General features: G+C 34.9%; 1 long non-coding RNA gene across 2 annotated transcripts; it reads left to right on the top strand.

Annotated features, from left to right (window-relative positions):
• Window positions 1-540: 540 nt before the first annotated feature.
• Window positions 541-26340, top strand: LOC105374150 (uncharacterized). 2 transcript variants are annotated; one of them, XR_924571.2, is made up of 7 exons: window positions 541-1428; window positions 1893-1952; window positions 10801-10979; window positions 19334-19429; window positions 19985-20066; window positions 24862-25017; window positions 25620-26340. It is a non-coding gene; the product is annotated as an uncharacterized LOC105374150 (long non-coding RNA). The 2 variants fall into 2 exon arrangements; XR_924572.4 differs by lacking the exons at window positions 541-1428; window positions 1893-1952; window positions 10801-10979 and adding an exon at window positions 13763-13982.
• The last annotated feature ends 1558 nt before the right edge of the window (window positions 26341-27898 follow it).

Genomic DNA, 27898 nt, shown 5'->3' with positions numbered 1-27898 from the left:
ACCACCACAATGAGGCTGCCACCTTCCCACTTCCTTGCTCTTAAACCTAACAATGACAATCAGTACTCAGTCACAAACTGACAGAAATTCCAACTTGCAGAGTCAGAAAAGAAAAAGGGGCCAAGGATTGCTGGTGAGACGGAAGAAGCTTGAAGTGCAGACACATGCTTAAAGGAAAACTGTTTGATAAAAACACCCCATTTTTCCATTTTAAATGCCTTTTCAGTTTTTGTCTCAATTATTTTTAATCTTTCTTCTAAAGTGAGGTTTGAGTAATCTTTTTTAGAATGTAATCTTTATTGGTCCATGAATTAAGACAGATTATTATAAAGAATTATTGTTTTATGTATGGGATACAAATCAGAATTTACATTTATGTTTTCTTATTGTTTTTGAGGAACGTGACTGCTGCCTAGAATAAAATATTCTCATAAAAGGGTAGTGTTCACAGAGATACATATAATGGCTTATTGAGGCCTTTCTTCATATTTTTTATGTAGAATTAAATACACTTATTATGAAGACATCTTAGGTGATATATTGAGAAATAAGATTTAAAATGTGATTCAACATTTCTGCATACTTTATGTAACCTGCCTGTGAAAGAACCCTAGGGTTGGTGAAGATAATGACATACTAGCAGTGTGATACCGCTTATTAAAATTTCTATATGTCGTTGTTTTCTTTCAGAAGATCCAATTTGATCCTTGGTGTTTCAAAATCCATCTAATGCAGGTTTTCTCCTGTAACAGAAAAGGGCTATCTACAGGCAGGATATCCCATTTTGGTATCCTGTTAAGTGACTTTTAGACTTCCAGAGTTTGTCTTCTTTACCACTTGATATTGACGTCTTACTGCTCTTCACATCTAAGCCAAAGGATAGCGTTTTCTTCTATATTAATTCAAAGGTTCTTTAAGATCCGTGCACACAGGCTTTGTTTCACACCTTTGAACTAAGGTGCCTGGGATGCCTTCCATTCCTCAGAACAGACAAAAGCGAGCTCTCAACTCTTCTATTAAATGACTCAAACTTGAGTTTTCCTATGACAGCTTTCTCAGCAAACTCCTAACGAGGCAAAATTGGCTACTCGTGGCTTTGGTTCTCTGTATCCAGCACATTTTTCAACAACAGCCCCTAGAATACATCGGGGCACCTGAGGTTGTGCTTGAAACAAAATAGGCATTCAATATCTACAGACTGGCATCAATATTGACACTTACAGACTAACAGAATGACTGACTGGTTAGATATCTAATCACTTGCAGTGCTCTCATCAAGCCCATGATGGATTAATTCACACTCCTATTCTTTTGCATATGCTTTCTCTCTGGTCAGAGTCTTGTCTAGCTGAGTCATTAAGGTAAGAAGAAAATGAAGAGGAAAGAGGGGAGAAATAGCCAACATGTACCAAGAACCTGCTGAGCCAGGTACTGTGCCAAGCACTTTAATTAGTTAATTTAAGCTCACAATAACCAAATGAGGCAGGAACCATTATCATCCCCTTTTGACAATATAGAAAACTGAAACCAGGAGATCAATGAACTTTCCCACAGTTACACAACTAGTGTGGAAATTGGACTTAATTTCTATCTGTATGACTATAGCTCTCAAGCTATTAGGTTGGTGCAAAAGTAATTGCGGTTTTTGACTTTTTTTTTTTTTAAGGCAAAAACCACAATTACTGTTGCACCAATATAATGATAACCTTCAATCATTCTAACTTATTTAGCTAGCGAATGCAAACTGGTTTTACAAAATCTTTGCAGCTAACCATTTCTCCAAGGAGTAGAGCCTGGCATGACAGACATTTCAATGTTTCCCCTTTGTGCAGAGTTAGATGAGATTATTACTATGTGACTATTCCGATTTGTGTTTTTCCTGTTCCTTGAAGGCATGGATGATGTCATCTTGTCTCCTGTGCCTGGATATTTCCTGAGTCCTAGTTGAATAAGTGAGTGAATGTTCTTATTGTACAAATTTTTATCACAGTTATCATATGCATTGCAGCTATTTATTTTATAATCTTATAATCTTTTTTCCTGGCCTTCCTTCTGATGTTGTTCAGAAACATCTGCCAAATGAATGAAAGAATGAAAAAGTGAAGTTATGAATAAACACAAGTGATTGTGGTATGGAAGGCTTGTTTCCAAATCTTACTTGCCAGACTCTTAAAAATTTATTTGTTCTTATCTGTCTGAATAATTCCAACTCAAATGTCAAGACTCAAGATATGCATCTTTTCCTCAGAAAATGCCACCGTCCCCAATATTTACACCCAGGGTACACCCAGACTGACAGAGAGAAAAGGCTCATTGTTGGAGCTTCTATCTCTGACCAGAGCTGGATGATGGCACTTCCCATGCTGTAATGCAACACTTTATTTTGGTCTAGGTCTCCTGATAGGCTAAGACCTAGAGACTAATATTTTATTTAACTGTATGTCTTTAATATGTAGTATATTTCTTAGTATGCAGCCAACAGTTATTGACTATTAACTGCTATTTGTTGAATGAGTGAGTCATTTTGTATATTTATAAATAGGGGTAGGATCCCAGAAAATTAATTAAAGGAAAAAGAAGCTAGTTAAACTTTTAGTTTATTTTTTTATTTCCCTAGGTTTTTGGGGAACAGGTGTTATTTGGTTACATGAGCAAATTCTTTAGTGGTGATTTGTGAGATTTTGGTGCACGCATCACCTGAGCAGTACACACTAAACCCAATTTGTAGTCTTTTATCCCTCACCCGCCTCCCACCCTTTCTCCTGAGTCCCCAAAGTCCATTGTATCATTCTTTTTTTCTTTTGAGACAGAGTCTCACTCTGTTGCCAGGCTGGTGTGCAGTGGTGCCATCTCGGCTCACTGCAACCTCTGCCTCCTGAGTTCAAGCAATTCTCTTGCCTTAGCCTCCCAAATAGCTGGATCTACAGGCACGCACCACCACGCCCAGCTAACTTTTTGTACTTTTAGTAGAGATGGGGTTTCACCATGCTGGCCAGGATGGTCTCGATCTCTTGACCTCATGATCCGCCCACCTTGGGCTCCCAAAGTGTTGGGATTACAGGCGTGAGCCACCGCACCTGGCCCATTGTATCATTCTTATGCCTTTGCACCCTCATAGCTTAGCTCCCACTTATGAGTGAGAACATACAATGTTTGGTTTTCCATTCCTGAGTCACTTTACTTAGAATAATAGTCTCTAGTTCCATCCAGGTTGCTGCAAATGCTGTTAATTTGTTCCTTTTTATTACTGAATAGTATTCCATTGTATATATATATATATGCCACAATTTCTTTATCCAATCGTTGATTGATGAGGATTTCAGCTGGTTCCATAGTTTTGCAATTGTGAATTGTGCTGCTATAAACATGTGTGTGCAAGTATCTTTTTTGCATGATGACTTCTTTTCCTTTAGGGAGATACCTAGTAGTGGGATTGCTGAATCAAATGGTAGTTCTACTTCTAGTTCTGTAAGGAACCTCCACACTGTTTTCCATAATGGTTGTACTAGTTTACATTCCCACCAGCAGTGTGGAAGTGTTCCCTTTTCACTGCATCCATGCCAACATCTATTTTATTAATTTTTTTTTTATTATGGCCATTCTTGCAGGAGTAAGGTGGTATTGCATTGCAGTTTTGATTTGCATTTCCCTGATCATTAGTGATAGTGAGCATTTTTCACGTTTGTTGGCCATTTGTATACCTTCTTTTGAGAATTGTCTATTCATGTCCTTAGCCCACTTTTTGATGGGACTGTGTGTTTTTTTCTTGCTGATTTGTTTGAGTTCATTGTAGATTCCGGATATTAGTCCTTTGTCAGATTTATAGATTGTGATGATTTTTTCTCCCACTCTGTAGGTTGTCTGTTTACTCTGCTGACTGTTCCTTTTGCGTGCAGAAGCTGTTTAGTTTAATTAAGTCCCATCTATTTATCTTTGTTTTTGTTGCATTTGCTTTTGGGTTCTTGGTCATGAAGTCTTTCCTGAGGCAATGTCAAGAAGGGTTTTTCCAATGTTATCTTCTAGAATTTTTATAGTTTCAGGTCTTAGATTGAAGCCCTTGATCCAACTTGAGTTGATTTTTGTATAAGGTGAGAGATGAGGATCCAGTTTCATTCTTTGACATGTGGCTTGCCAATTATTCCAGCACCATTTGTTGAAGATCAGTTGACTGTAGGTATTTGGGTTTATTTCTGGGTTATTTATTGTGTTTGATTGGTCTATGTGCCTATTTTTATACCACTATCATGCTGTTTTCATTACTTTGGCCTTGTAGTATAGTTTGAAGTCAGGTAATGTAATGCCTCCAGATTTGTTTGTTTTGCTTAGTCTTGCTTTGGTTATGCAGGTTTTTTTTTGTTGGTTCCATATGGATTTTAGGATTGTTTTTTCTAGTTCTGTGAACAATGATGGTGGTATTTTGGTGGGAATTGCATTGAATTTGTGATTGCTTTTGGCAGTATGTTCATTTTCACAATACTGATCCTACCTATCCATGAGCATGGGATGTGTTTCCATTTGTTTGTGTCATCTGTGATTTCTTTCAGCAGTGTTTTGTAGTTTTCCTTGTAGAGGTCTTTCAACTCCTTGGTTGTATATTCCTAAGTATTTTATTTTATTTTATTGCAGCTATTGTAAACGGAGTTGAGTTCTTGATTTGATTCTCAGCTTGGTTGCTATTGGTGTATAGCAGAGCTACTGATTTGTGTACATTAATTTTGTATCCTGAAACTTTGTTGAATTCATTTATCAGTTCTAGGAGCTTTTTGGAGGAGACTTTAGGGTTTTCTAGGTACATGATTGTATCATCAGCAAACAGCGACAGTTTGACTTCTTCTTTACCAATTTGGATGCCCTTTCTTCTTTCTCTTGTCTGATTGCTCGTCAAGGACTTCTAGTACTATGTTGAATAGAAGTGGTGAGAGTGGGCATCCTTATGTTGTTCCAGTCCTCAGAAGGAATGCTTTCAACTTTTCCCCATTCAGTATGATGTTGGCTGTGGGTTTGTCATAGATGGCTTGTATTACATTGTGGTATGTTCCTTGTATGCCGATTTTGCTGAAGGTTTTAATCATAAAGGGATGCTGGATTTTGTCAAATGCCTTTTCTGTGTATCTGGAAATGATCATGTGATTTTTGTTTTCAATTCTGTTTATGTGGTGTAACACGTTTATTTACTTGTGTATGTTAAACTGTCCCTGCATGATATGAAACTCACTTGATTGTGGTAGATTATCTTTTTGATATGCTGTTGGATTTGGTTAGATAGTATTTTGTTAAGGATTTTTGCATCTATGTTTATGGGGGATATTGGTCTGTAGTTTTCTTTTTTTGTTATGTCCTTTCCTGGTTTTGGCATTAGGGTGATACTGGCTTCATAGAATGAATTAGGGAGGATTCCCTCTTTCTCAGTCTTGGGAAATAGTGTCAACAGTATTGGTACCAAAGTCCATTTCACTCCCCTGCAACCTCCACTGGATCAGGTGCTGGTATCTATGGCTGAGAGACCTGAAGATGGTTCACATAATGGGACTCTGAGCAGACACCCCCCAGTACCAGCCCACGGCCTGGTAGCCCTGCGGGGTGGCTAGATCCAGAAGAGAAATAACAATCACTACAGTTCAGTTCTCAGGAATCCACGTCCCTAGGAAAAGGGCAAGAGTACTATATTAAGTGAGCACCCCGTGGGACAAAAGAATCTGAACAGCAGCCTTGAGCCCCAGACCTTCCCTCTGACATAGCCTACCCAAATGAGAAGAAACCAGAAAAACAAATCTGGTAATATGACAAAACAAGATTCTTTAACACCCCCCAAAAATCACACTAGCTCACCAGCAATGGATCCAAACCAAGAAGAAATCCCTGAATTGCCAGAAAAAGAATTCAGAATGTTGATTATTAAGCTAATCAAGGAGGCACCAGAGAAAGGTGAAGTCCAATTTAATTTTTAGTTCTTTAAGGAATCTCCACACTGTTTTCCATAATGGTTGTACTAGTTTACATTCCCATCAGCAGTGTAGAAGTGTTTGTGTGACTTGTAAGGAGGTGGAGATTGCACCTACCAGTAAACTTCCCTTTGGAAATAGTCACGTAGTGCTGTTAAAAAGTATATAATAAAAACCACTTTAGGCCAATAGTTGTAAAAATGCAACCCAAGGCTTCCAAAATGTTAGCAACAATACTCTTAAATTCCAGCAGATGGTAGTGTTGTTATAAAAATCTGCCATCCTTGGTTAGCTAAAATAAAACACATCTCACTTTTCATAAAAACACTTTTGTTCTTTTTTCCTTTGAAAAATGAAGAGAAAAGAGGGTGCCCAATAACTCTTCTTTCTAGAAGCTTTAAGTAAGAAAGAAAACTTAAAAAAAGAAAGTGGTCACTGTTGGTCCATGATAGAAGAATTATAAAAAAGTTTATTTTTCATAATTGATGGTATATAGATAGATATGGATGATATATATTATATATAAATATAAAATTTATATGAATATAATTATGTCACAGAAATGATAAAAATGATATATTGTGTGTTGGTCACTATTTATCTACATGTAATTATATGTATATAAATTGCATATATCATATACATAATTTTTTTCTGTATTTGCTGTTTAGGATTGGAGAAGGAACAATGGTCCCCTTCCCCACATCTACAACTATCAACTCTTCAAAATATGGTTAAAAAGGACTCTAATTATTTAAAAATATAATAATGTATCTTTCCATTGCTGGGGTGTCCATGTTTGTATTACCTTGAGATCAAATTCTGATAGAGTATATGGGAACATTTCTCTTTTGCCTTAGTCCAACCCCACATTTATTAGTCCAAAATTAAAATGCATATTATCTTTTGACTGATCAATGAAATGGGTACCAGTCAAAGATTACAAAGAAAGATTTCAAGAAAGACTTCAGAATATCTGAGTACTGTACAAGCAAACAAGATCTTGGTTTAGATTATTTGTTAATACTTCCTAAAGTTCAGCAATTTCTTATAGAACAACTGAATGATATCCTGAAGTAACACATATTTCTGCTGTTGTAGAAAAGGAAGATAATTTTCTCCTTAAATCTTCTTATTCTTTTTATGCTTGCATCTATTTAGTATACAAATCAAAGGGATAAAAAACTGATGTACAGACGGTCCCCAATTTACAATGGTTTGACTTGACTTTTTGACTTTATGATGGTGCAAAAACCATGCACATTCAATAGAAAGTGGTAAGACGCTCTCTTGTGATGCTGCAGCTCCCAGTCAGCCATGCCATCACGAGGGTAATCAACTGGTACTCTGTAGTGTCCTGTGTTGCCAGATGGTTTTGCCCAACTGTAGCCTAATTTAAGGTGTCTGAGCACATTTAAGGTAGCCTAGGCTAAGCTACAAGGTTAAGTAGTTTAGGTGTATTAAAGGCACTTTTAAGTTATGATATTTTCAACTTACAATGTTTATGGAGATGAAATGTTACGTTAAGTCAAGGAGCATCTGTATAAGCAGGATCATTATCCTTATATTAATGAGATCAAAAAAGAGAAGCATTCACTAAGACAATTTATTTCTTTTAGTACTATTTTCTTGATAAGGAAAAAAGACAAGAAAAGTTGACCAAATTTTTAAATATTTACATTTTATATTTTTAAAGCATATCAATTCTATACAGGCCACCTAAATATTAGACGTTCAGATAAGTGACTTCTAACATATTCTGAGGGCATTTTTATATGTATGTAAATGTGTTTATATAGACATTTACATACATATATAGACATTTACATACACATATTTATCTTTACATCTCTGAAATTAGTATTGAAATATGTGAGAAACAGGATTTGTTGTGTGTGCTCATTTTAAAAACACTGTATAACTGTGTAAAATATTTTTCATTGTGGAAAATGGTTAGATGGTATTATGTAGAATTATTTTACAGCCGGTGACATAAGGGGTGATTTTTTCAAAGAATTCTTTTACTATTTTGAAGTGTCCTTTTAAAAGAATGATACTTTTTATAACTGATAAAATAATTATTGTAATATAAAATTCAATGTCCAAAGACATTATCAGGAACACACTGATTATTGAAAAAGTAGTTTGTAAAACCTGATGTCTAATATATTAATGAAAATAAAATTTATTTTTGTTAATCTAGGTCATAACTGCTTTTGGAATATCATGAAACATATGAATGAATTTATTCCAAGTGAAAAATCATTCAGTAGAGTCAAACTATAGTGTTTTCCAAAGGAATTTCCTTTTAATGACTTGCAGATGTTGTTGTGTTTAATGTCAATAAAAAATTGAATTCAGTTTTTGGACATAAAAATTTACATGAAATACATCCCCCGAGTACATTAAGTGTTTTCATATTCATGAAAAAGACCATTTGGAAAAGAGTAAAAACAGATATTTAAAAAATTTATTACTAAAAATGTTTGTTAAATATTATAATGACTTTCCTAGAGCAATCCCTTAAATTAAAAACCTAAGAAAATAATCGATTTTATTTTAGAGAGAGAAAGTGTTTTTAGGATTGAGAAAGAAATTACTTCTTAATATTTCAAAATCCTGTACAGGTTAAGCATTCCTAATCCCAAAATTTGAAATCTGAAATGCTTCAAAATCCAAAACTTTTGAGTGCCCATTTGATGCCACAAGTGGAAATAATACAGTTGACCTCACATGATTGGTTGCAATCAAAATGCAGGCACACAACAGACTAGTGATCATGATAACAGTGATGATGAAGATGACTGACATTGTTAACACTGCAGAAAAATTATCTAGAGATGGCATGGTGAAAATGTGTGATGGGCTTATTGAAGGACTAGGGCAGTATGCATTCATCACAGAACAAGAAATCACGTAAGCTATAAAATCAAATAAATAATTCTAAGACAAAAAAATGAAAAATTAAAACAAGTTGTTAATGAGGCAGATGACATTCTGGAAGAAACATTTTAAGAAGCCATCCAATAGGATGCTTCTTCATCTTTAGAGGGCCCTCAAGTGCTTCTGATTCTTCTTCTCGCCTATCTCAAAATACAATACGATGTATAGTAACCTTCTAATCTAAACAGAGGATTGCGGGTAGAGACTGAAAGTCTGCCATTGCTTGTGGATGTTGTTTGACAGCTGATACAGGCATTCTGGTGATGACACTGTGCTGTTTGGTTACCTCAAACACATTATTTTTTTCACTGTATTAATGGTGTGTCCTCTTTTTTACAGTTAAATACCTATGTGTGAATAAGTGTAAGAAAATGATTGCTTATTAATAGCATATAAATTCAGAGTCAGGAGTGATGGTAATGCCAGAAAAAAATCTTCAGATTATCTACATGAGTGGCTGAGATAGTGACACTTTTGCTTCCTGATGAGTCAACGTACACAAACTTTGTTTCATGCTCAAATCTGTTTTAAAATATTGTAGAAAATTATCTTCAGGTTAGGTGTACAAGGTGTATATGAAACATAAATTTTGTGTTGTGACTTGGGTTCTATCCCCAAGATATTTCATTATGTATATGCAAATATTCCAAAATTTGAAAAACTCCAAAACACTTCTTGTCCCAAGCTTTTTGGATAAGGGATACTTAACATGTATTTGTTTTTTTCAATCTGCATTTTAAATTTTCTGATAAAATATATGGAAAAAACAACATCTCTAAAAAAACGCACTCCTTCTAAAGTCATAAAATTTCTATTTCAGTGTATGTTAGTAATTCAGAGAAGGTCCCTAGATGTGTGCTTCTCTAGAACTTTGCCCTTTTCTCTGTCATAATACTTGCAATTGCCTCCTCGTTTACTTACCTTGCTAGATTGCAAGTTTCTTGAAGTCAGGAACCATGACTCATTAGCTTACCATGCTATTTCAGTGCCCAGCACAATGCTAGGCCCTCAAGAAGTATTTACTAAATGAAGAATCCAGATTTTTAAAAAAAAAATTCGTGGGTATATAGTAGGTGTACATCTTTATGGGGTACATAAGATAGTTTGATACAGGCATGCAATATGAAATAAGCACATCATGAAGAATGGGGTATCTACCCCCTCAAGCATTTATCCTCTGAGTTACAATCTAATTATACCCTTTAAATCATTAAAATGTACATTTAAGTTATTATTGACTATAGTCACCCTATTGTGCTATCAAATAGTAGATCTTATTCACTCTTTCTATTTTTTTCATACCCCTTAATCATCCCCAACTCCCCCCTCCAAGGATCCAGATTTTTTACTCTCTCACCATATTTTTTTTAAAAAACCTTATTTTATTTTTTATTTCCTAAGGGTGCTAAAATTCTGAAAAATCATCCGGAAGTAATAGCATCACAATATTAGTATTTATTTAGTCATCTATCAAGTCATCCTCCCACCCCCCGAATTAGGGCATGTGGGTGAAGTCTTAGGAGCCTGCAACATTTTTTTTTCCTTTTAAAGGGGCTAGGCACACTCATACCAAGTTGCTCCTTGGCATTTTAAGTGCTATTAGCTTTAGAGTTAAGACATGCTCTAAATGAAGTACCAATTACTAGTCACTGGTTCAAAATTCAAAGGGGAAGAAGAAAGGAGTTGAGGGTGAAGTTAATAAGTAGTCTTCTGCCCTACACTCTGAATCTGCACCCTGATTTGTCCCCATTCATCTCCTCAAACCCACCCCGCCTATGAGGTCATTTCTACTCTGGAATCTGGGACAAATCGAAGGTATAAAGGAGTTTAACTATTTGTAGCTGAGTTCTCAGGGAGACTGAACCTTGAATCCATGTTTCTCTGGTTTTACTCTGACCTTTTGTTTTATTTCTAGAAAATGCAATTCTTGACTTGAGATGAATCAGTTCCCCAATTTATACTTCATTCGTGGAAACTGGGTCTTGGGCAACATCTCAGCAATTCCTTCCAATCTGAAGTTCTCTCATCTGCTGGTAACCGGTCCATTCCTATTGGCGTTCAAGCAATCACAAACACATCCTACTTTTGAGAAATGTGAGCACATGCTTCCCAGCCCCTTCCTAAAACTCTGCCTTGGATAGAAAACATATCCCTGGGTAGCTCTTTTTCTGTCATCACTTTTGCCAGATGTTGATGGCAGAATTCCTCTTTGTTTATTATTAACATCAATTCCAGGAGATGTGTTACCCTCTGTCCAGAACATGAAGTACTTGACTTGCATCTATCTTGCTTATGATTTGTATTTCATTGGCACATCGTCCAAGATGAAAAAATTCAAGCAGTATAATCATAAATATTGGCATTTCAGTCATCTGATCCCTAATTTTTTCCCTTAACATTAGGAATTGATTCCATTTACAATGATTGCTGCCTATGTAATTATTTCTTTGTAACACAATATTTTAAGAGTACATTAACTCATGCATTATGAGATTGAGTATGTCATAATTATACAAAGCAGCAACTTGATCCAAGAGTTACAAAAAAGAATGATACTACCTTTCAATTATGACTTTATCTCAGATCCATTTATTAAGTATTGTCAGACTCATGGCCTGTGGGTATCTTTATTTTGTGTCATAAATAGAAAAAGAAAAAAGCGTTCAGTTCAGAGCTCAAATCCCTTTTAGGAAAAAAAAAAATCGTACGGTAAAACTGTTTAGCATAAGAAAAACTTTTTTTAAGGCTTTACATAGTTCGTAAACAAGTGTTTATAAAGCCCCTTTTGGGCCTTTGCGACCTTCATAAAATGCCCCTGATTATCAAAGAACAAATAAATTAGGCAGGTATACTAAATTTTTCTCTTACAAAGAAACACTGGTGAAATTATGTTAAAATAAACTTGACAGGATTTCTGGATAGATGACACTTCAGTGCCAATAATGTTGTTTCTCTGATAACCTTGCTAAAAGGCTAAATTTTTCAGTAATAGATTATTCCTGACCATGATACAGATTGCATTTTTAATTTTGCAAATGTTTTTGATTGGCTACTATGACCTTGATATCACACTGGACACCAGGCTATCAGGGGTTGATACTGGCTGTAAAGTCATCACAGGTGTTTTATTTGCAGCCAACTAGTGTTCTCTTTAACTTTGATTCCTATCTAAACTAGTTGGAAAAACCCAGGATGGGAAAAACAGAAAAGAAAAAAAGAGAGAGAGAGAAAAGCGTTTTTCATGAAGAACCATTCTGCAAAGCATTCTTTATTTTTCTCTTTCCTTCTTTTGTGAAGGGGTCAACCTCAGATAAATAGATTAGATTTGATTTATTTTTTGCCATTGGTTTCTTTTTTGCTGATAACCTACAGTTCAAATCTCACAGTTTACTTTAAAAGTAAACAGGCTTCCAAATTAACCCACCTTGGGAAGGTCTTGTGATTCATGGCAACATCCTGTCCATGAGTAAAGAATCTTATCGTGAGCTTTCAAATTGTTGACGTACTGATAAATGCATAACCTACTGACACTGAAAAGGACACTGATTTATTTCTGAATTATAAAGTTTTACTGACTGTCTTGCACGTAGACATTCTAGCCTGTATGTTGCAATCTGTTTCCAAGGATTGTAACCTCTGTATTGTACCCATCAATAATAATGGACAACTCCCATATGAGGAGTCCCCCCTCCCTTCCAAGCTTTCTTATAAACGCCTTCCAACTTGTCACAGACTCCAGAACACTCCCAATTTTGTTGGTGTGTTTTCCCAGGTCAATCCTCACATTTGCCTTCCAATAAACCATTATCAAATTATTTCTGCCTCAACAGCCTTCGTTTTGGTGGACATTGCCAATGTTACTATTTTGTGAACATATTCTATTATTTATTTAACCCACACTCTATTTACTGTAATCTATGTGTGCATCAAAGTTACATAGCTTTGAGGTTGAGTCCTGTGATGTATAGCTTTTCATCTCCCCCAATTTTTTTTTTTACTTCTCTCCTTCCTCAATTACTCTTATTTTGAGGCAGATAATGGACAGATAAACTTATCTCTTCAGGTGTGTTAGAATTTTAGCATTGATGTATATGATAATTTCTATATAAGTTTTAGTTAATATATAAATTTTGCATAGTGTGAATATATTATAAGCAAGTGCTGTAGTTGGAAGTAGGAACTAGGAGGTTAAAGCCTTAGGATAAACATTTGTCACTTATAGCCAGACGAGAAAAATATTTTCTTACGAGAGATTATAAAATGAAGTTATCTTTATGTCTGTTAACACTAACATTTGTACATGTAAAAAGAGAGTTGTTTTTTAGTTTTCAAATTATAAAAACTCAACTTTTTTCAATTCATGTAAAGAATCCAGGCTCCATAAATGTTTTGCAAGATTACGTTTCTTTAAAGATAGAGATAGATAGACAGATAGATAGATAGATAGATAGATAGATAGATAGATATTTGTGTTTAAGCAAACAAATGAATAGCTTTGTAAATAGTAGTAGGCAAGGACAATTAATTAATCTCTTAATTTCTTAATTGTTCTTTCCTGCTGTGGACTTTTCCCAGTGATTTTTTATTTTAAGTAACAGTTAATTCGGTTAAATGAATTGGGTATTTTCAGCCAACAGATATTTCTTGGCCTCACTCTGTGTCTGAGGCGCTGAGTCGGGGTGGGGATTAATCAGTTGATCAGGGAAAATTCCAAAACAATCATTAATGTCTAGAATCACAGAAGACATTTCCTCATGACAATATAGTATTGAGAAGGCAGAATTGTCTTGTTAAGTTATAAACTACAGAAGTGGGAAAGTAGCATCAATTACAAATGTATCCATTTACTAGATAATCTAAAACTTTATGATTTTGTAGAGAAACAGCCCATACTATTATTCTGTGTGTTGTTTATATGGTTTTGTTTTAAAACAGAAATGTTTACTGACAGGATGCTAAAATTTCTGCTTTTGAAAATTACCTGCTCTCTCAGGTGGGAATTCTGGAAATACTAAGAAGAAAATTACCTGAATTTGCCTTGGACAAATTTTTATTTGACTCTAAAGCCATATACACCAATAAATCAACTGACTGGGGGTAAAGATTTTAACCATCAGCTTTCTCTGTGATGATTTTGCATTTTTCATTATGTTATGAGAGTAAGCTATAGCCTAGGCCAGAATCCCATGGCTTTGGGCTAGAAAGATGAGAATGTAATGAGGTAGAAAACATATACACAAATTGCAACATCAATGATGATGTCCTTATAGCTTAACTTGCTTGCATAACTGCATTATAAATGGAGACATAAAAAGATACAGCATGTGGACATCAACTTGTAAATCAGCAACCCAAGGGCCTAAGAGCTTCACAACCTTGGAGCAGTCAGTTTGCATGTTTTCTTCAAAACAATTCAGAATGTACAACACTCATAGAGGACTGGCCTTTTTTTTCTATATTAAATGAAACACAGTTCTTAGAGACAGAATGATATATATATATATATAATTATATATATATAAAATGATATATATATAATTATATATATAATTATATATATCATTAGATATATATACATCATTAGATATATATCTAGATATACATATACATCATTAGATATATATATCTAGATATATATATCATTATATATATTATTAGATATATACATCATTAGATATATATATCATTAGATATATATACATCATTAGATATATATATACATCATTAGATATATATATATATATATAACTTTTTCATTTTAAAAGTTAAGTGACAAGAAGCCATTTCTTCCTTGTTATTACTAAAAGCTGACAGAAAGCGATGGGAAAAAGAAAATTGTGGTGGAATGAGAAGGTGATTGGTTTCAAGTAAGAGGACTGCCACCAACCTAGTCTCTGTTTCCTCAGTTTGGTTAAGAGATCTCTGAAAATATTCCAGCCAAATTTATTTATGTTACAGCCCTAAGACTCTTGAGAATATCTTTCTAAGCCTTTTGTTAGTTCTGAAAGTCAGTTCTAGCTAATGGCACACTAATCTTTCCTTCTGTTCTTAAGTTTAAAGGTAGCAGCAGCAGTAGCTTGCTCTATGTCCCAGACAACCTCTGCCACACTAGGGCTTCACAGCTCATCAAACACAGAGCTGTTAATTTTCTAAAACTTTACCCCCAAACAGGAAAAAAAATTAAGAGATTATGAAGGAAATTGTTTTAGTTTGTTCTTGCATTGCTATAAAGGAATACTTGGGGCTGGGTAATTTATAAAGAGAAGAAGTTTTATTTTGGCTCACGGTTCTACAGACTGTACAGGAAGCATGGTGCCAGCCTCTGCTCCTGGTGAGGGACTCAGGAAGTTTACAATTATGGCAGAAGGTGAAGGGGGAGCCAGTGCAACACACGGTGAGAGAGGGACAGAGAGCAGGGGGAGGAGCCAGACTCCTTTAAACAACCAGCTCTCACATGAATTAACAGAGCAAGAACTCACTTACTACCGTAGGGAGGGCACCACACCATTCATGAGGGGTCCACTCCTCTGACCCAGATACCTCCCACAGGCCACGCCTCCAACACCGGGGATTACATTTCACCATGAGATTTGAAGGGAACAAATATCCAAACCATATCAGATACCAACTTAATAATGTTTGTATTTTATCAGTATACTTAGGAGAAAGATTAAAGATAAAGTAGCAGTAGAACACAGGTTTTTTGTGTTGGGTTTTTTTTTTTTTTTGTCAGACTTACTCTGTTCAAGTCCAAGATCTACTACTTAAAATATGTAGCCTTGAATTATTTATTTTCAGTAAACTTCAGTCTCTTCATTTATAAAATGGTAATTATAATGATAATGATGGCTGTCTCAACTTTGCTTTTTTACTATGTGCTAGAATGAAACTTAGCACATAGTAACACATTCCCTATAAGGAATCAAACTTTTGACAGTGCATCTCTTTCCTGAAGACCTTCCCTAATTAATCAGAAATACAGAAGTACACGTATGTCTGTGTATTTCACATGGATTAAAAACGTGTTTATCATAACTTTTGGAGTTTGACTCCTTCATACACATTAATGAAAAATAGAGAAAAACTTACTTTGAAGACAAAATGTTAATATCTAAGGTGGCAGTATTCCTCTTAGAATGTGTTTTCTGTTGAACATTGGAGGCTGATTTTATTAAAAAGAAAGCACATCCACATTCTCAAGATTTACAACAAAGTTAAAAACTAAAAAAACATTTGATTGTCAAAAGTTCTATTAACTATCAAAACTAGAATATTTATTTTTATTTCAATAGCTTTAGGGGTACAGGTGGTTTTTGGTTACATGTGTGAATTGTATTGTGGTGAAGTCTACAATTTTAGTGCACTTGTCACCTGACTAGCATACATTGTACCTAACATGTAGTTTTTATTCCTCACCTCCCTCTCACCCTATGCCCATCCCCGCAATGTCCAATATACCACTCTATATGCTTTTTTGTATCCATAGCTTCGCTCCCCCTTATAAATGAGAGCATGTAGTATTTGGTTTTCCATTCCTGAGTTACTTCCTTTAGAATAATGGCTTCCAGTTCCACCCAAATTGATGCAAAAGATATTATTTTGTTCCTTTCTATAGCCAATTGATATTCCATGGTGTGTATATATCACATTTTCTTTATCCACTCATCAGTTGATGGGCACTCAGATTGATTCCATATCTTTGCAATTGTGAATTGTGCTACAATAAACATATGCATGCAGGTATCTCTTTGATATAACTTATTTTCTTTTGGGTAGATATCCGCTAGTGAGATTGCTGGATCAAATGCCGGATCTACTTTCTGTTCTTTCCATACTGATTTCCATGCTGTTTTTCATAGAGGCTGTACTACTTTAAATTCCCACCAGCAGCATATAGGCATTCCCTTTTCACTACATCCACACCAACATCTATTGTTTTTTGACTTTTTAATAATGGCCATTCTGCCTAGGATAAGGTGATATCTCATTGTGGTTTTAATTTGCGTTTCCCTGATAATTAGTGATTTTTCCATGCTTGTTGGCCATTTGTATATCTTCTTTTGAGAGCTGCCTATTTATGTAATTTGCCTGCATTTTAATGGCCTTATTTGTTTTTTTCTTGCTGATTTGTTTGAGTTCCTTGTAGATTCAAAGGATACTAGTCCTTTTGTTGGATGCAGAGTTTACAAATATTTTCTCTCATTCTTTAGTCTGTCTGTTTACTCTAATAATTATTTATTTTGCTGTTCAGAAGCTTTTCAACTTAATTAAGTCCCATTTATTTTTGTTTTTTTAAAACTAGAATATTTAAGAGAATTTGTTTTATGAAAAAATATCAAGTTTAGTTTTTAACCACCTGAGCTAACAGGCAGAAATTTTGGTAGTTATCTTTATGTTTCAGTACTTGGGAAAAATAGGTATTTGCTATATATACCAATAGAACTAAATGAAATTTAATTTAAAATTCAGAATATGCATTTCAGTGTTTTCCATACTCGTCTGATTTTAAGCATCACCCACCCAGAATCATTTCTGATAATTCAGATTCCTAGGGTTTATTCTGGAGCTATCAAATCAGAAACTCTAAAGACAGTCTGAAATAACACTCTGTGTTATTCTTATGATCAGATAAGTATGTGAAGAACTAACACAAATATTTCTCTGAGTTAAGCACATCTTTTAAGATTTTTAATCATTACCAAACAACATGGACCTTCTAAGAGAGAGGCTTATATTAAAAATAATGCAACAGAATTTGAACAGCAATAAAGTTTACATTTTACAAACAAAACCAAATTCAATTATCTTAATTTCTTTTAATCATCTCACAGTTTTCAGATCAGTAACATTTAAATTTGTGAATTTCTCAGATTCATAAGGTGTTTTGACTCTCTGAGAGTCAAAAATAGGAAGTGCAAATCATAAGTAAGGAGGTTTTGAAGTATAGCTGTATTGTTGCTGGTTTAATTTGTGAAGAGGTTTTAAATATTGATTTTTTTCTTCAACAAATAATTTAAACTATCTGCATGTTGGTGCATGCCAAGCTATTGTGTGAAATTTTACCAGCTGGGAATTATCCCCTCATTCTCTGGTGTGATTAACACTTCCAGCTGTAGAATAATTAAAATGTCAATCAGTTCAGAAACAGAGCAAAACAGTTTCTCATTTGATCCGTCAGTGGAAGGCTAAATGAAAGAGTATATCAGGTGCCTAGCTCTTCTCACAACAAGAGTTCACATCCCACCTCTCCCTGTTTTCCTCCACCTCCCCTCTTCTGCCTTCACATACACAAACACACACTGTGGACTCTGGGTTTGGATTATGTTCAAATTTGATTCTTTGATATGTCATCAATCTTTCAAAATTTGTTGTGTTGATTGTCTTTAAGAAAAACTTGGGGGAATAATGAGACCAGAAGATTAGGTGGGTTTTGTATGTGTTTTTATATGTGTTTTCTGCATGGTATATGTTCCTCGAACCATGTAAACATACACTCTATTAGTTTTGAAACTTTCTTCTTGATCTGACAGCACTGACAATGATATGCTTCATCATCACTCATAACCAGGACCTGAAGGGATGATAAAGCTTCTAGGCTTATAAAAAATAAAGTGATGGGAAAAAATAGTCACAGCATCCTTAATGTTCCTGAGTGTTCTAGTCTGTAGATTTGCATGAACATAGTGGCTAGAAAATACAATATGGATGCACAAATTTAAATCAATACATCTCTGAAAGCCCCAGCCCCACTTCTGCTTCTTAAATACTCTTTTATAGGTCTCGATACCTAGAGTCAGCAGCAGCAGTGTGGCTTTTACATTTTTCTGTTAGAGCTCTTTTTAAACTTAATTAAAGCTTTAATAGAAGTTTTATTTCCCTTAGAGAGTTACTCTGAAGTTTAAAGTGGCCTTAAAAATAAGTACCCTAAATACCTGTTCATCAAACATCCTTTTGAACTTTTTGTTTTACTCAGAAGAATATTACTAATCATATATATGAACTCTTTTGGATGAATCTGATACTCTAGGTAATGATCCCTAAGACTTCTATAGTGGTTATTTTAGTGGTTTCTTTGAAGTCTTAAGAAGAGGTGGTAGCAACATGTAAGTGAAAGGGTGTCAAATTGGTAGAAGCTAAAAAAGGTTGGGTTTCTGAGTGATGTCCTCTCATTTGAAGAAACCTTGAGCAACTCTTTAGCCAACACCTGCTGTGCTGGCAAGCTGAACCTCAGATAATATGGTGATGCTCCTGATTTATACGATCAAGGTCATACCACCCACAAGTACATTTCTAGGCTCAATCTTTTAAATACCTTTGTCATTTCCTTCCTTCTAAAGCAATTGTGCACACAGTGGAATTTATTGAATGTTGAGACAGCACAAAATATTTGCTCTTTTCACTAATTTTCCTTTTCTCTCTCTTTTCAACACACTAAACCTTTTCCAAAGGTTCCAAAGGAGGAGTCAAAGCGGCTGTAATCTTGATTCGGTTTTATGGGCAATAGAATTATTTTACTGATTCCTGGAATCATGGCTCCTATACATGTAAGTAAGATAATCTTTTTCTCCAATCAATATGTATTCACTGAGGCTGAGATTACATCAGCAAGGGCTAGTCCACTGACCCCTAAATATTCATACTTAAAAAGGAAATTTGGAATCCAATAAGAGAGGTGAGACTATGGTTCAATTAAAGAAAATGCCTTTAAAAAGGATGATGAAATTCCTTCAAGTACAAGGTATGCTCTTTGAGTTGTTATAAACTTGTTATTGTTGGAATTTTACTCTGGGTAGCAGATACTTTAATGTCGATGAATCCCAAATGCAATTCTCTGGGCTATTTTTGAAGACTATGGAACATTAGAGAGCAAAAAATATAAAGTTACCAAAAAATGTCAGCATTGCATCTGAATGGGTTCAAAACAAAATCAGTCCATATCTTGATGCTGTGTGCATTCTCTGAAAACACAATAACCACAAATGGTGCCAGAGGGAAAAGAGAAAAGGCTTCTGTTGACTTCAAATAAAGGCGGTATCTGACAAAAGGGGAAGCAAATGATACCTTGATATGCCATTAACAAATGCCTTGTATATCTACAGCTGCACTCTATGAGCACTTTGGAAATTAAAGGATTGCCAGCTTTTCCACTTTGGGACAAAAAACATTTGTGCTAAACAGCCGGTAAGTAAATGCAGTAAACATATTTTTACAGTGAATAGAATTGTTTTATATTTTGGGTACTGATTGTGAATCTCTAGTGCTTCTTGATTAGCAAACATTTGGCAGTTCCCGAGTCTTTAGACATTAAAATGCCAAAACAGATTTTTATTTTCAGACTGAGCTCCTATATTTTTTTCATTCCCCTAACAATTATCTTCAAAACATTTGAAAGCACTAAAATAAAACGTGTTCTGAAAACACATTCGGAAATGTTTTACCTGTGTGACTTTAATAAGTATGTAAATAAAAAAAAAATACTGGGTTGCTGTCTAACTTCCTTAGGGCAGAGATGAGAACACAGTACATACATAATGACTGTTGGAACTGTTGGTGGGCATTTCCTAGGGCCTTGCCTTGGGACAATGGAAGGTTTTATTGCTGAACACCAAAGCTGCTAAAAACAGATGTTTGTGCAAAGTCTCTTGGGTGTATCTCTTAGTAGTAATGTTCCTGCTAATTTTTAAAATCAATAAACTTCTAAGAGGTTTAAAAGTTCTCAGTAATGATTTCTATCTCTTTTTAAGAGTCATGTCCTTACACATTTTTGTGTTGTTACATTGAAATTATTGGAGGGTTTTTCTTTTAAATGATCATTTTAAGTATCTTACACTTTAACCTTAAGATGGATTAGGAGATGGATTGTATTTATTTTGCATTCATTCATTGAATATAATTTTTAGTTAATTATATAGAAATGAATGTTTTAATCTGCCAACTTTATATAAAACTTGAAAATTCAGAAAAAACAAGTAGGCAAGATGGCATAATTTTTATACCGGCTCACATCTTGGTTGCAGTGCAGGATTTTGCAGTCTTCTATGATTGAGTGTGTATGTGTTGTGTGCATATTTGTGCATGTGTGTGTATGTGATTTGTGTGTGTGCATAAGTGGAGGTTGTGGTTTTATCATTGTAATTAAAATTTTAAATTAAAATGTAATGGCATGTACTAGTTTTATATTGCTTCTGTAACAAATTACTACAAATTTAATGGCTTAAAACAATATACATTATCTTATCGTTCTGGAGATGATCAGTCTGAAATGAGTTTCACAGTGTTAAAACAAAGTGTTGATGGGATTGCATTTCTTCTAGAGGCTTTAAAAGAGAATCCTTTTTCTTTCCTTTTCCATATTCTAGAGGCCACTTATTTGTATTCCTTGGTTTTTAAGGAATCTTCAAAACAAGCAACTACATCACTCTGACTTCTGTTTTCATCAGAGTCTCTTTCTCAGACTCTGACTCCTCCTGCATCCCTCTGACAAGGACCCCTGATTACATTGGTCACATCTGGATAGAGGGCCATCATTGTTACTTCTACTGGCATAAAATTCACTAAAGTAAAATTCTGGCTACTCACCTCTCCCTTCAGTAAATCTTCCCATGATTTCTTACCTCCCCTGAACGCCAGTATTTTTATCCATACAGTTCACCTGTTTGCTTAAGGAAATTATCCTTGAGTATCCATGAAATTTATGCTGATGCCACGTGCCCAACCTTCCCCAACATGCCTACTTTATAAACTTCGGACTTTTCCTTGCCCCCTTCCCTGTGTGAGGTGGAAGCATTACTTCTAGAACAAACTTCTTCTACCTGAATCTTTTTTTCTAATGGTGCTTCAATTCCCTGAAATGGAAGCACAACTTTCTCCTGGAGGTTCCATTTCTGTAAGATGACCTTCTGCTGGAAGTAAATTCTTTTCTACTTCTGCCAACTCAATGTGCATGTAAGGAGATGCCTCGTCCTTATTTCTTGATGCCTCTTCCACACCATTATTCTACAACCACCATCTAACAATCTCTCCTCCCTTGAAGTTGATGATATCTGGTGGTTGCTTTTCTTTCCCCATTTTTGACATGATATGCTAGCTTCAAGTTCTCCTTATATTCTTCATTTAATTTATTATTTTATTTTTATGATTTGCAGGGATTATTCCTTAGACACTTTATTGTCCATACTGCTATCATCTACCAAACTAGCTTCAACTTCAACATCAATGGCCTCCTTTATCACCTTCCCATATTGTCCCTTACGTATGGCAATATCTTGAATCTTGAAATTACTTGGAAATGATGAGATGGAAAATGAACTCTAAGGTTCTACTTTGTGACTTTACCCTTCTTCCCTTCCAACTGTTCCCTTTCCCTTTAGTCTTTCTTGACCCCATTTTTCAATTTCACCTGATTCCCTGTCTCTAAACTTCTCTATTCCCTCCATCTTTTAGCCTCTCCTATAAGTCCTTATTTGTATTCTGGAGCAGGGTTTCTGAAACTATCTGTGAGGTGAAGGACCAGTTTTTATTTCCCAACCCACTGTCAAATGATATTTTATTAAAATATAATAATCATGAATTTTACTTGAGAATTGAAAATAATAGACAAGTACATACAAAATGCAAACAATTTTTACTTTAAGAGTCAATAGATGTAAAATTTCATTTACTATGATCAAAGCAAATAGAGTAGAATAAAATAATTATAAAAATCACACATAACACGTTGAAAATGTGCTTATAAATGACTAATATAGCCATTTTACTCATATTTGTATGATATTCTTCAACCATAACCAACTGGAATTTCATTAAGATTGCACTGAATTTATAGATTAAGTTGGTAAAAACTGATATATTGACAATACTGAGTTTTCCTATCTGTGAACATGGAATATCTCTCCACTTATTTAGCTCTTCCTTGATTTATTTTATCAGAGTTTGTAGTTTTTCTCATATAAGTTTTGTTTATATTATGTTAGATTTATACCTAAGTATTTCATTTTTAGCATGCTAATACAAATGGTGTTGTATTTTTATTTTCAAATTTCACTTATGCATTGCTGATTTATAGGAAAGTAATTTACTTTTATATACTAACCTTGTATTCTGCAACCTTGCTATAATCACTTACTAGTTCCAGTTTTTTGTTGTTTTGAATTTTATACGGAGATCATGTCATCTATGAACAAAAAGTTTTATATCTGTATTCCTAATCTGTATACCTTCTTTAAGAAGCTTTCCTAAGAAAGCACACATAAGTCTAAAACCCACTGGCCTGCATGCTATATATCTGCATGCTTACTTAAATTTTCTCCTATATTTTAGTCATTTTTATTCAAACACAGCATGATATTTAATTAGTCTAATTACTATACTCTTTGCTGATTTCTATTCCCTGCCTCCTGCTCCCAAATTTCTTTCTGTTCTTTAATGAGATATTAATATGATAACTTAAAATGTACCCTCTATGGGTAAATCAATATTTTGAATTAGGACCTCCACCTTTCGTTCCATCTTATTTTCAGTTTCTCTGGGCAACTCTTCTTATGTTTTTATCATCTTAATGAAAGTATAAACATCTGTTCTCCCAAGCCTGTTTATTTTTTGTCTCATTTCACTAGTACCTCCACGTCCTCATTCAGCCAGGATAAGTATTTAGATCTGTGGGTTTTTTTCTTTCTGTATAGGCAGAATTCTAAAGTGATGCCTGTGATTCCTGCCCTGTGAAATGCACAACATTTTGTAATCTCCTTTTTCATGCAAGTGAAACTTGTAACTCACTTATAACCAGTAGAATATTGCAAAGGTGAAGGGAAAGCTTAGATGTAACTAAGGTCTTTAGTCAGTTGATTTTTAGTTAATAAAAAGGGAGATTATCCTGGGTTGGCCTGACTTAATCATGTGAGCCCTTTAAAAGAGGCTGTAAGCCTTTTCCAAAATAAGGCACAGGAAATAGCAGATACTCTCTCCCTTTCTGGCTTTGGAGAAGTAAGCTGCCATGAATTTTACAGCCAAACAGAAATGAATTCTACCAACAACCTGAGGAAGCTTGGAAGTGAATACTTCCCTAGTTGAGCTTCCAGATGAGAATACATCCCAACCACCATTTTGATTACAGCTTTGTGAAACCTTGAGCAAAGTACCCAGTGAAGCTATGCCCAAACTTGTGACCTACAGAAACTTTGAGATAATAAATATGTGTTGTTTTAAGCCACTAAATTTATGGTAATTTGTTATGCAGCAGTAGAAAACTAGAACACTCATTTCTTCCAATTTCCACATTTGCTCTTCAACCAATTTCTGTCTCTTCTACATACACAATATTTCTTACTCCCATTTTTCACCTTCTCATCACTACCACTTTGGTTTATTTATTTATTTTATTTTGTTACTAAAATGGCCTTTTGAATGATCTTCTTTCCTCTCCAACTCACTCTAAGAACCACTAGAAACACTAATTATGCCATTCTTGCTGTAAGGAAAGATGGTCACTGTGGTCATAAAGTAGAGAGGTTGATCTAGTGATATTGGCAGAAGAGCATGATAAGATGAAATTTCCAGGGAAGAACTATTAGAACAGGTGGCTGGAATGGAGATGGTAGGACCCTGAAGATAAGTTAAGGAATTGAGAAATCACTGTGACTATGTTGCATAGGCTATTCAAGTAGACACCAAAAATAAAATATGCTGGTTATTTTAATATTACAATTATAACAAGCAGAGACAAATGAAATTGCTTATTTTATGTTGTTTTTCATACCTTCTTTCACAAAAACATAGTAAAAGTTCCCCTTTGGCCTTTTAAGAAGAAAGTTTTAAAAATGTGCATTTATGTAATAACTCAATATAAGTTACAAAAGTCATGTATTACAAAGTCCATGCAAAAAAAAAGTTATCACATAAAAAAATTCTGTAATTATCAAGCCTTCTAACCAAAAATGAGTCAGTTATGCTCTTTTATACAGAGGCTGCTTTCTTCTAGGAAAAAGCAAATGCCAGTGTTAATCAAACCAGCATGGAAGTTAATTAGAACCTCAAGAACAAGCGGATGGGCTTAGCACCTTGGACACATCAATATCTTGTTTCTAAAGATGACCTCAAAAGATTGCATAACAATAAAGCCCAGCACAAGTCAGAAGTAACTAATTAACTTTTCATTTTTCCCTTAGTAATTTAGTCCTGCTCTTTAAAAATATTTCTAAACTGAGAAATCCCCATTAATTGCTGTATATTGGTTGTTCAAATGAGGGTAATGACCCTTTACTTGATTGTATATACCCGTCATTTAGTTTATCTTTTATATGTGCTTTATAAACAACTCTCAAACATGAAGCAACTTTAGTTAATAGCCTCATTAAATTTGAATGTAGATATAGAATTTTAGAGACTGGAAAACTTTCTAACACTGCATGGGAAATATTAAATATTTTCTTATCTACCTTGCAATTAGGGGAGAAATTGTGCTAACCTCTCCCCCAGACATTATTGCTTCATCATCTCAAACCTCTGGAGGCTCATAGTGGAAATGGTTGGGAAGAGGGCAATACATCAAAGCACGCTTTCTTATCAATAATTACTTTGATGTTTTCGGTTCTGCTCTCACCTTTTTTAGGTGAGAGATCTGCCCACTGAGTGGTTACCTAGGCTCAGCCCTGATAAAAGAGAGGTTAGGAGTCACTTCAGATGTTGCTTTGGCAGTTTTTTTTTTTTTTTAATGTTTTGTGTTTGTTTGTTTCCTAGAGTCAATCTACTGAGGTCCTACAATTCTCTTCATTGACCTGAACAAACTCGACTCTGCTTTTCCCTTAAATTTCTGTACAGAACCCTGACAACTCGTCTATACTTTCTGTTATTGATTTCCCCCATGCGCCTAAGTTTCTTATGACTTCTGGATTCTCCTTTTGGCTTTGCAGAACACCCCTACTTCCAAACTCTAGAGTAAAATTCCTGTGAAGACTGATACCTCAGAAGTGACTGCTTCACAGATAGACATCTAATTTTTTAATTGAGATTTCAACTATTTAACACTTACCGTGTTAACTCATGACACTCTCCTCCATTTGCTCATAAACAACAAAACAATAACAAAAATGAATGCTCACTGAGTGCTACAGAATGCAAACTATTAAAGATACAGAAATAATGAATAGGACTTCTGACCTTGAGTGGTTGGTAAATAAAACAGAAATATAAAAAATGAAATAAATAATTAGGGTTACTGCCACTAGAGAAACAGATCACAGGCTACAGATTACTACTGGCCCTATGAAGCAGGAAGACAGCACAGGTATAGCAAGGGACCTTTTATATGTAGGTAGAACCTTATTGTAGGTAATGGTGAAAGCCAGTGAGCCCTTGCTCTGGGCTGCTCTGGTGAATTGGCACTCCCTTCACTGTTTCGCTGACTAGACCTCAAGTACCCTCCATGAGAGACTAGGGAGGCCTTGTGGAGCTGTGTCCTGTTTTCTACTTGCATGAATTATTTGCATTGCTTGTTTGTGAGTTTTAGCAAAATAAACTGAATGCAGACAATGCCATGTCCAAGTAATCTTGCTTGGCAATGTTTGAATCTCTATCAGACTTTGCTGCTGCTTACTTTATTCCTTCTCCCAGTTCAACCCCAGAAAAGACACAGGAGTTAAATGACAAAAAGTGTGGGTCTGAAGAACTAAATCAAGACTGTTAGAAAACACTGGGCAGAGAGAGGTGGTTTTGTGCTTGTATGGAGAGAAATAGCTGGCAGGACTGAAAAGGTTTGCATGCACAGCATAGAAACTACTTAGGGGAAGAGCTTTCAATTGTGCTCCTTTCTCGTAGTGTCACACTGGCTTGCATAGATGCTCACTTCCTCCTCATTTTTGATAGAAAAGCAGCTGTGACTGTGTAGGGCCACTGGGGTCAGTAGGGTGACATCAGAGAGGCTTAAGACCACACAGACTGGAAGGCCAGCTTCTGAACAAGCCCTCATCCCCTCCTCTCCTGCCACCACCCTCACCTAGCTGTGAATAACCAAACAATGAAGGCAGGCTCTGGGAGAGAGCTGTGTCACAGCAGAGGGTTCCCTGAAAACCAGTGCCATCTGTTGGGTCGGGGGCAGATGATGGCTCCTCAGCCTCTGCCTCGTGGTATATCTCTCCCACCTTTAACCAGGCCAAGAGCAGCACATGCTCTACCTTATACACATTACCAGCAAGATATTGCATATGCCCAGGGAAGATGTGCTGGCAAATGGTGTCAGACTTTTGTGAGGCAGAATCATGAAATAGGAGGGTCAATAAAATAGGCAAGTCAGACTAGATGAATGAGACTTAATTAAAATATCAAATCAAGAATTAAAAATAAAAACACTGTCCTCTAATACTACAGAATAATAACAAAATGAGGGAAATGCAAGCCATTTTAAAGAAACACAAAGTAGAAAACTTGGATGTAGAAAGAAAATAATTAAAACATTAAAAATGAATAATTATACCTGAAAATGAATAAATGAGAGTATTGTGTCAACAAACTCTTGTGAAAAGAATTAGCAGGAATTAAAAGAGAAATTTTAAAAGTTAAGGTGTATAAAATTTAGTACTAGAAACATCAAAATCTAAATATTAGGATAGAAAAGATGGAGAGGAAAGTGTTGAATACATAATCACGCACAATTTTTCAGAACTAGAGCAAAATAAATAAATCATATTGAAGAGATTCCTAGTATGACAAATAGGATAAACAAGGAAACATTTACATCTAGACATATTATAGTTAAAATATAACATTTACATCTAGACATATTATAATTAACATCAACTATATCAAGAATATTCCAAAAGCTTGTGAATAGAGCAGATCTTCCTAAAAGAAAAAGACTTAGATTGACTTTAGATTTCTCTTAATGACCCAAGAAGCAAGAAGTGAGGTCACAATTGCAAAGGAAAATAATTTAAACATGGGATTTTATTCTGTTTTTTATTATCAAAGATTTGTGACAAAAAGATAAAGAATAATAAACATATATCTACTATAAATTATGA

This window comes from Homo sapiens, chromosome 3, assembly GCF_000001405.40.
Source record: "Homo sapiens chromosome 3, GRCh38.p14 Primary Assembly".
Classification (NCBI taxonomy): Eukaryota; Metazoa; Chordata; class Mammalia; order Primates; family Hominidae; genus Homo; species Homo sapiens.
This window is presented reverse-complemented; position numbering and strand designations above follow the sequence as displayed.